Below are 11,088 nucleotides of genomic sequence, written 5' to 3' on the forward strand. Positions count from 1 at the left end.
CCATGTCATCATTAACTTAAAGCAGCAATAGTCTTTGCTTGCCAGAGCTTATATGTAGTGTGAGGGAGATTCTTAAGCAAAATTGTGAAATAATTTAGGGTGATCTCCTGCACATTTCCCTTTCTCAGTTATCTTTATTCCTATTTTGTTGTACAAGCTTCCACTTATCCACTTAACAAGGTATTTGAGGGCCTCAGATTTTCTTTCCTCTCCTCCACCTGAACCTACTTTCCAAAAAGCATGTGTACAGTTAAGGCTAAAGAATTTATACAGCTAAAAACATTATGTCTCCCACAATTACTTATATCTTCATATGAATACATTATATTTATTTATGCCTAGTTACGTAATTGCAAATTGTCAGCCAATCATGGGGAATATATTTTTTCAAGCAATGGGAATTTATAGTACTTCTTGGCACAGATATAAGACTGTCTCGTTGCACAAATTTCACAAGACAATTGAACCATCAAGGCCTAGAAGTCATTCACAGAGAAGCCATGGACAAGGTCGGTTGCATGATTTATTCTGTAGGTATCCTCTCCCCTTAGTTCCCATAGTACCCAAGTTTGCATTTATCTAGTATTTTTCACACCATTTGTGCTGATCATTTATGTTTCTGTTTCTCCCCTTCCCCCACCAGACTCCGTCTCCCAGGTTCAAGTGACTCTCATGCCTCAGCCTCCCAAGTAGCTGGGATTACAGGCATAAACCACCACACTGGACAAATTTTTGCTTTTTTGGTTTTTTTTTTTTTTTGAGATAGAGTTTCTACTGCCCAGGCTGGAGTGCAGTGGCACAATCTCGGCTCACTTCAACCTCCACCTCCCCAGTTCAAGTGACTCTCATGCCTCAGCCTCCCAAGTAGCTGGGATTACAGGCATAAACCACCACGCTGGACTAATTTTTGTATGTTTAGTAGAGATAGGGTTTCACCATGTTGGCCAGGCTGGTCTCAAACTCCTGGCCTCAAGTGACCCACCAACCCCGGCCTCCCAAAGAGCTGAGATTACAGGTATGAGACGCTGTGCCTGGCCAGAAACCAAGTCTTTCTTAATCATCACCATTCGGGTACATAACTAGTACTCAAAAAGATACATGCTGAAAAATTGAACTCAAGTGACACATATATAAGATCCAAGAAAGAAAAAGAAAGGAAATTTACCTTCCCTGCCTCTATAATTCAGATTACCTTACCCACCCACCTCCAACAATATCTCATGGCATGAGCAAATGAGTGGTAACCATGGTTATGTAAGAAAAATGAAAAGGAAGGGGAAAGAACTAAAATGATATAGACATACTAAAAATTTAGAATAATTTGCCTCTAATAGGTATAAAAATTTGTAACATTGAGGTTACATAGTTGTTGAGTTTTTTTTACCTTTTCATATTTTTTAAAAATGTACGCTAGTTACCATGATAAATTGGTAACTATGGAGTTAATAATAAAGTGATGAAAAGGCTGTGGCATGGCTTTTTGCAGAGACTGCATTATTGCACACCCATCTTTGACAAGGCAATTTCCCCACAATAACTGTAGTCTCACTGTATAATTATCTCAACCACTGATATTTCTCTAGAACTATAAGAAAGCCAACTGCTACGTAAACAGGCCTGCTTGTTCACTGCAGATGGACCAGTCTATCTGTAAAAGCAAGTACTCTAAAAGAACACTCCATGAATGCAAATGAGTTGGTTCTTGGTCCCTTCAGATCAATGCTTTTCTTAATCCAAGCTTTGATTTCTTGTTGCTCCTTTGGTTTAAATCAGATAATGTAAGGATTGGAACTAAAGTAAAATAATAAAAATCATAAGTATTTTATTATTATGTTACTTGTGGTGTTATCATTTTGTCAGAGCTATGAAACTACCTTCATTTTAAGTCATGTGTTCTACAGTTTACCCCTCAGATAGGGCTTAAACTATTAGTATAGATAGAGAAGGAATATAAAGGGTTGCTGTGGTTTGGATGTAGTATGCCCCTGCCGAAACTCACGTTGAAATTTGATTCCTAAATGTAGCAGCATTGGGAGGTAGGGCCTAGTGGGAGGTGAGTCATAGGGGCAGATTTCTCATGAATAAATTAATGTCATCTCACAGGAATGAGTTTTCACTCTCACGGAACTAGATTGGTTACCACAAGAGCAGGTTGTTCCTCCTCGTGTTTGCTTTATTTATACACCCACTCACCTTTCCATGTCTCTACCATGTCTTGACACAGTACGTGGCCCTCACCAGATGCTGAGCAAATGCCAGTGCCATGATCTTGGACTTTCCAGTCATCAGAATTGTGAGCTTAAAAACAAAAACAAAAACAAAAACAAAAACAAAAACAAACCCTTTTCTTCATAAATTACCCAGCCTCTTGTATTCTGTTATAGCATCACGAAATAGACTAAAACAGGAGTAAAGGATATATATGTAGATGATGTTTTTCTCTCTTTGACTGATGTAGAAATTTACTAGATCCATATGAGACTAGAGTATATATATACATATATGTGTATATATATGTATGTATCTATATATGTACATATAGAGAGTATATGTACACATATATGTATATATATACTCTAAATTAAATAGATATACTTATATAACATTTATAGTATCTACATGCTATAAAATGCATCCATTTTAAGTGTACAATTCAATTACTTTTAATAAATTTACAGAGTTCTGCAACCATTACCAAAATCCAGTTTGAGAACATTAGATTCCTCTGAAAAGCTCCCTCATGTTCATTTGCAGTCACCACCCTGCTGTTTCTACTCCCAGTGGCAGGCAAACACTAATCTGCTTTCTGTCTCTGTAGGTTTGCCTTTCTGGACATATCATCTATGGAATGTTCATTGAATCATACAATATGTGCTCTTTTGCATATGGCTTTTTTCACTTAAAATTTATCCATGTTGTAACAGGCATCAGTTACCTATACTTTTTGTTGTTGCTAAATAGTATTCAATTATAGTTATATATCATTTTTTAATCCATTAGCAAGTTGGTGGGTATTTAGATTATTTCCCACTTTTGTCAATGGTGAATAATGCTGCCATGAACATTTGCATACAAATCTTTGTGTAGATACATGCTTTCATCTCTCTTGGGTAGATTCCTAGCAATGGAATTGCTGGGTCACATAGTAAATTTAAATTTTTGAAAAACTGACAAACTGTTTTCCAAAGCAGTTCCCCCATTTTAAATTCACACCAGCAATACATGAAAATTTCAGTTTCTCCATATCCTCACCAACACTTGTTATTGTCTTTTTTATTATAGCCATTCTAGTGGATGTGAAATGATATCCCACTGAAATTTAATTTGCATTTCCCTAATGGCTAAAGATTTTGAACATCTTTTCATGTGCTTATTAGCAATTCTTGTATCTTCTTTTGTTCATTGGTTTTTGTTTGGTTGGTTGTTTGTTTGTTTGTTTGTTTTTATTTTTTTGAGATGCAGTTTTGCTCTTGTTGCCCAGGCTGGAGTACAATGGCACGATCTCAGGTCACTGCAACCTCCACCTCCCAGGTTCAAGCAATTCTTCTGCCTCAGCCTCCCTTGTAGCTGGGATTACAGGCGCCCGCAACCACGACCAGCTAATTTTTTGTATTTTTATCGAGACAAGGTTTCACTATGTTGGCCAGGCTGGTCTCGAACTCCTGACCTCAGGCGATCCACCTGCCTCAGCCTCCCAAAGTGTTGGGATTACCGGCGTGAGCCACTGCACCTGACTCATTGGCTTTTTTAACATAAAGTTTTTAACATTGAATTTTAGAAGTACAAAAATATTTTATAATTGTATGGCCTAACCGCTTTATCTTAGAAGTAAGAGAAATAAAGACTAGAGATACAAACAATTTTGCTCAAGGCACAAGAGCAAACTGATGGTAAATTGGCATTTTAATTTCCTAACTCTGAATTGAGTTAAATTCAAACTCACTTCCCTGGCAGTAATTAACTTATTCTCTAATATAGTTATTAGTGAAAAGAAACTAATGAAAAGCCAAAAATTGTAGATTCCTTGGGAACAAGAATCATGTGTTCCTCATCTCTGTGACCGTCTTTGCACCTACCATAGTCCCTTATCCATTGTCAGCACTTAAGGAATGTCTGCTTAAATGAAAAGACATCAATGAAGCCTCAGTCCAGTCAGAATTATGTAACAGTCAAGTGCAATGATAGTCCTTGACTATATCGAGTATACTCTGGGTTTCATATCATTATATAGCCTTCAAAAAATTGTTTTAATTACTGTGGACACCAACCATCATAAACCTACTAACTCAAAGTGGTAAATCCTTCGAGCATCTACCTCAGCATTATCCAGCATGTATTCCGAATACAGATGCCCAGGTCTTACTCCAGACTAACCGAATCTAAATCCTTGAAGGTGAGACCTGGGAGTCTACATTTTTCAAATACCTCCAGAAACACTTATGCACAAAAAGAAGAAAAAAATGAAAGCCACTGATATAACAGATGCTGTGCAGCACATCATAGGATTATTTACTTGAAAGCATTAGGTAGAAAAAGGACTGGTAATTTAGAAGGGATTCTAATCATGGAAAACTAAAAGAATGTCCCAATTGTTGAACTACCTCATGAACTACCAATGGTATACACAACTTTCCAGGAAGCCTTTAATAAGTTGGGATCAATAATCCATATTGACTTTACAAAACCATTAAGGGACAAAACACTCCTTGATTGTCATGGACATCATTACAAAAGGCATTGATGGGCTCTCTGCTCCATCTCACGGTGCTGCCAACACCAAACTCTGCTCTAGTTATTTGGAACATAAGATTGTATAGGTAACATCCATCTTGATAACATGCCTGCATTTGCTTGAATTGGATTTAAAAACCTGCACCACAACCATATCTAAGCAGTCACTGTTGGAATGTATCACCTCCAGCAAACAATTAGGCATAAAAGAAAAGTGTAAATGATTAAGAATGAACTAAAGCACATGCTCAGAGAAGATGGATAAACAATTGGGAGGCCGAGGCGGGCGGATCACGAGGTCAGGAGATCGAGACCACCCCGGCTAAAATGGTGAAACCCCGTCTCTACTAAAAATACAAAAAATTAGCCGGGCGTAGTGGCGGGCGCCTGTAGTCCCAGCTACTTGGGAGGCTGAGGCAGGAGAATGGCGTGAACCCGGGAGGCGGAGCTTGCAGTGAGCCGAGATCCCGCCACTGCACTCCAGCCTGGGCGACAGAGCGAGACTCCGTCTCAAAAAAAAAAAAAAAAAAAAAAAAAAAAAACAAGACCAGGTGAATTTCTGCTTCTCAGCTTGCCACTTCTCATCCAATCACTGTCATCAGTATCATTAATGGGGCATTATGTGAATGTCAATTGACCATTTGTATAGACTTGCTCAAACTAGAACTTCCTCTACTCGTTTTCATGGCTGGTACCACAACTAAAATAAGTGCCCCCGTGCCCAACCTTGCAATCCACTCCTCTTCGTGTTACACCTTCTTCAAGTATGTAGTAGATTGTGTTTTCCAAAGATAGACACTAAAATATCTCCCATCCCACCTGCTGCTCCACAGTGTGACCTTGCCACCTCCCCTCACCCCCCATTTAAGGGTGCAGTCTATTTTTCAACCCCTTCTTGAATTTAGGTGAACTCTGAGACTAATTACATGAGAAGTGACATCGTACCACTGTCAGAATCATCCTTAACTATTTTGACAACTTTTGCTTTGTGACTTTTGGAAGCCAGACATCATGTAAAAAGTATGATCACCCTGAGCAACAATTTTTTGGGAAATCCAAGCCACCTGGAGAGGCCCTAGAAGATGAGACCGCAAGAAAAAGAGGCCAACACTGCCAAGACACTGGATGTGTCAGTGTGGTAGACATCTTGGAGGTAGATCCTACTCATCTACCATCCCAGCTGATGCTGTGATTGGAGCTCATCACCCAACCAAACCCTCTCCACATTCCTGACCTACAAAATCAAAGATCGAGAGAAAACAGTTGTTTTAACGCACTAAATTGGGGATGGCTTATTATATAAGAATAGATAACTGAAACAAAACATTGAATAGTGCTTTAACCTATTTACCTTATGTATTTGTTTACTTACTTGTCTGTCTGAATGTAAGCTTCATCAGGCCACAGCCTTTTCTGTCTTCTTCTCCACTGTGTATGCAGTTCCTGGAATAAAGTAAGTGTTCAATAAATATCTGTTAAATTATTATTGAATGCATTTTTGTCACTGGAGAGTCTACAAGCAAGCAATAATGTACTGTGGTTGATACCAGTACATTGTGGTACTGTATATTATACCAGTTCTTCTTTTATTTTTATTGGAGGCATTCATCTTTGTGAGGAAATACATGTCATGAAAAGTCCAGAAAACATAGGGACGAATGTCATATTATCACACTGATTAACCCATTTATGCCAGAGGTTGCAAATTTTTTGTCTGAAAAATCAGACCTTGGTGATGACCTTTAGCAGCAGGATATAAATAACTCCACAAGCTTAGCGTTCCAATAATGGAACACTAGGCAAATGGATTAACTGCAATTTTCAAAAGCAGACCACGAGACACATTTCATCTAGGGCCACCAATATTTCATTTTTAGTATAACTCCTGAGCTCCCACCAGGGTCACAAAGTAAAGAAATCAATATTTTCTCCCTGATCAGAGCAATAGCTGATACAGGGCCATACAAAAGGAATGAACTTAAGATATTACTTGGAGAGGGAGTATGGCTTTCAAGGATAAGGAAGAATATGCTGTATCAGAAATGCCAGTAAGAGCTTGGGTTCACAGTTTTATACGTTTTCAAGGTCCTCAAAGTTCTTCACTAAGGATTTGATTATCCCTGCATAGTATTGAATATAATTTTCCTCACTGAAAGACTGATATCAAAGTCTATTCATCTCCTCCTTAATGCACAACAAAACCTTGAGAATTCCAGCAGTTTTATATCTGCTAACACATTAAGTGCTTATAAACTTGCAATTGGAGCCCTTCCTAGAAAGCATATTTATAAACCAAATATATGTTTTTGAAAACGATTTCTCTGCTTCTATAAGTAACATAATAGTAATAGACATATAGTTTCTCCACTTATTTTGTTTGTCCACAAAATAACTTAGAACATTAAGCAGCAAGGGTACCCTCACCTTACCAAAGAAGCTAAGTCTGTTTCCTCCAAAATGTCAGAAGTTCATTTTCCCTAGCTCAGGGTAGCGAGCAATTACAAACCTACGCTGTTCCATGCTCTGCACAGATGTCGTTGGTAGATGAATGCGCATGTCTTATATAGAGCCATTAGCCCTAGAAAAAAAGATAGATAATGGCAATGAGAATGTTAGTAAGCCTTTGTTTGCTCTTCCTTGTTTTATTTGAGGTTTTCTTCATGCTTTTCCCTTTTCTTACAGACCATTGTAAATGCATTTGCCATTTGGTGATTTTGTCAAGGATTTTTCAGATTTTCTTTATATAGATGCTATTCATCTAGTCTCATAAGTGTCTGTGAAACTGACATTCTCATATAAGATTTGGTCTCTAAAGTTGTACAGGATGACCACAAATAGAAATGGACATTAACATGTTAAAATTTCCTGCTTCAATATTTTATCTGTATTCATTAATTTATTTACCTCAAAGTCTCAGTTTCAAAACACACCATCCTTAATGCAGGGTGCAAACCATTATACATGTTAAATGAGTCAAATTGCACCCTCTGCCAATATCAGCATGATACCCATCCTCCCATTACACCCACCATCACTAACACTCACAGCCTAAACAATCACTCTTGGTTCCCCAGCTGGGGCTTGCAAAGAGAGATTCTTGCTGCTGGCTCTTGTATAAAATGAAACTATTAAGGAGTAAAGTACCTGAGATGCTTCTAATTGCAGAAAGATGGCTGGGTTGTTTGTAAGAGAGTCTGATGCTCATGTTGACCACAGTTTTAAAAAGTACAGTCACGTACCACGTAACAATTCCATCAGTGATGGATTGCATATAAAACAGTGGTTTCAGAAGATTATAACGGAGCATACATAGAAACCTGATATGTGGTACTTCATATTGGCATTTCAGGTCAAGTAGGGGAAATGATTGATATTCAATAATGGTGCTGGCATATTTGGTTTTCACATGAAAAATATATATACCATTTAGGTTGGTAAGTACACTCTATGAGGTTCACACAACAATGAAATTGCCTAACACTTTTCTCAGAAGATATCCCTGTCACTAAGCAACACAGAAGTGTACTCTTTTTCCCCCTTAAAGTAATATCATGACACGATGGTTACTGAATTAGTCTGCTCAGGCTATAGTAACAAAATGCCATGGACTGGATGACTCAAACAAAAGGAATTTGTTTCTCATAGGTCTGGAGGGGAGAAAGTCCAAGATCAATGTACTGGCTGATTCAGTGCCAGGTAAAGGCTCTCTTCCTGACCTGTAGACAGCCACTTTCTCATTGTGTCCTCACATGGCAGAGACAGACAGAGAACAAGCTTTCTGGTGTCTCTTTATAAGAACATGATCCTATCACTAAGGCCTAACCACATGACCTTGTCTAAACCTAGTTACCCCCAAAGGGTAACCCATCTCTAAATACCATCACATTGACAGTTTGGATGTCAACCTATGAATGGAGAGTAAGGGGAGACAATAACTTGGTCCATGCCAGTAATTAAGACCATGATGAAAATTCAGGAACAAAGCAAGGCTAAGAGACCATTAGAGGAAACAGTCACAATAGTGTTCTCATATTTTGTAATAGCTCCTGTGCCCAACTATATAAGATCTGTCTACAGACTTATTCTCCTTGAAAGCAAAATGTAATATCTATGTTTCTATAAAATAGGAGACCAGTTTTCAGCTTGTATCTGAAAGTTTAAAAAGTTCTACCAAAATGAGCAAAGTTTAATTCCCTCTTACCCTGCCACCAAGGGACCAAATAAGAGAGGCAGCCAACCAGGTAAACAGCGTACTCTGACTAAAGACGCAGAAAGCTACAAAGCTGTAGGAAAGAAAAAGAAGTCACGTCCAGGGCAACTTAACCAGCAACAGAGATTTCACAGAAGCCCTTACTCATAAGCAGAGACTCTTGACTTCAGAACACATCTGCATTTTAAACACAGAAGAGAAAAACATTAATACATTGTGGGAGACAAGAATATGCCACCCCAAAATATGAAGGATTGTTAAGTTGAATTAAGAACAAGCAGATGCAGTACAGCTCTCTGCCCTACCTCTATTTGCCAAAAAGCAGGAAGCAGATTTACAAAGATAAAAGGTATCCTGACCCCCTTCTCTACCAGGGAGAGAAAAAAATTAACCACTGAAGACAGCTTTGGACACATGTCAGCCTGGAGATGGGATGACAGGAATCTACATTAACAAGCTTTACTAACTCACCTTTATCTGCCTGCCCACCATTGGCTGCTGCTGGAGATTCAAAGTCCTGTCTTTTGTCTTGTCATTTCTCTAAAATGTCACTGTTCTTTGTTGATGATACATATAATCTGGAATTCAAAGCCACTTCTTTAAGACTATTCATCTCCTGGGTGTTTCCCATGTATTTATAAAATATATATGTTAATAAATTTTTGTTTGTTTTTCTCTTATTAATCTGCCTATTGCTACAGGGCTCCATTTCAACAAAGAACTTATGAAAGTTGAAGAAAATTTTTTTTTCCTAGAACCTCAGAGTAGGATCCATAGAACCTAAAAACTTAAGAAAATTAGACTGGTTTAGAACAGAAATTATTCCCTTAACTATACCTGATTACATATGTTTACCAACTTCTACTAATGGGGCATCAGAAATTAATATCACACTTCCAATTTTTATCGACATTTATGTAGTATAATAACATAATTTTCATTCCATAAAATGGCTTAATTCTCAGTCAATCCCTTGTATAATTTTCATAAAGTCATGAAGTTTTAAAACCCTCTAGATATTAAATACCCAAGCTGAGAAGGTTAAGCAAGTGATATGTTTTAGAACTTCTGTACTCACAAAGATTATTTGTATCTCCCAAGAACTTGGTACCTCTCATTTGCAATGCTGAAATTAGTTTATGAGTCATTGGTGCTAGCTTAGTTCACATAAATCTATACAAGAATGAAGATCATAGATTGCAAATTATTGTCTACTTCCCCTCAATGTACAAATCCAACTGAAACATTATCTACCCATCAGATGCAAAAAGAGACAGATGCCACCTAGTGTCTGATAGCCTCAAGTGCATCCCAATTCTACTCGAGTCTAGTTCCATTTTGGGATTATCCAGATATAGCTACGTCAAAAGTTACTGTAATATGTTGTATGCAAAGAACACTCAACACATTCTGGTGCTAGTTTTTCTATTAACTATATGTATCATGTTGGGCAAGACCCCCATGTGTCTTGAATTAGTTGCTTTCCATGACCTCTTAGAAGTAATAGACTCTGATTTCAGTTCTGACTAATGCAAAGCCACCTGTGGAAATCTAATCTTTTTACATTGAAATCTTGATGTAGAGCAGAACCAAATTCCAGAAAAGCAAACAACATTTTCCAGGGCTAACCTGTGATGTACATTGACTTCACTCTGTAAAGGAGATGTACATTGACTTCACTCTGTAAAGGAGCATGTTTTCTGTATAAACGCAGTACAAACATGAACTTGAGACACAAGTGCACATTACATCACTCCAAGCAATGATTTATCATCAGGTATAGCAAGGAAAAAACGAAATAAAGTCAAGGTGACCAAAACTCTTGGTTTTCAAAAGACCTCTAACAATTCACTATATAAAGTATGATAGCTGCTCAGACTTTGTCTTATAGTTTAAAATACTTAAGAAAAATGTTCTTCAGTTTTATGTATTAACAGGTTCTGTAAAATTTCTTTTTAACTAGATCACATAACAAAATCTTTCCCAAAAGAAAAATGAATGGAAAATACAGCAAAATATGGCAACTGCTAAATCTTGTTTCTTACCCCTTTAATTCTTTGTATCATGTTCTATTCTCAAATGAGTTTAGTAATCTAGAAGGTAGTCAGGCCTGTGTCCAGTGGTTTATAAAGACAGATGACAGTGTC

General features: G+C 37.6%; 1 long non-coding RNA gene across 1 annotated transcript; it reads right to left on the reverse strand.

Moving 5' to 3' along the window:
* Positions 1-2,260: 2,260 nt before the first annotated feature.
* LOC105373686 (uncharacterized) lies at positions 2,261-9,006 on the reverse strand. The gene is made up of 4 exons (XR_002959484.1): positions 8,933-9,006; positions 7,156-7,309; positions 6,104-6,174; positions 2,261-2,298 (listed from the first exon to the last, which is right to left on the reverse strand). It is a non-coding gene; the product is annotated as an uncharacterized LOC105373686 (long non-coding RNA).
* Between the last annotated feature and the right edge of the window lie 2,082 nt (positions 9,007-11,088).

The sequence above is a fragment of the Homo sapiens genome, chromosome 2 (genome assembly GCF_000001405.40).
Source record: "Homo sapiens chromosome 2, GRCh38.p14 Primary Assembly".
NCBI classification, from domain to species: Eukaryota; Metazoa; Chordata; class Mammalia; order Primates; family Hominidae; genus Homo; species Homo sapiens.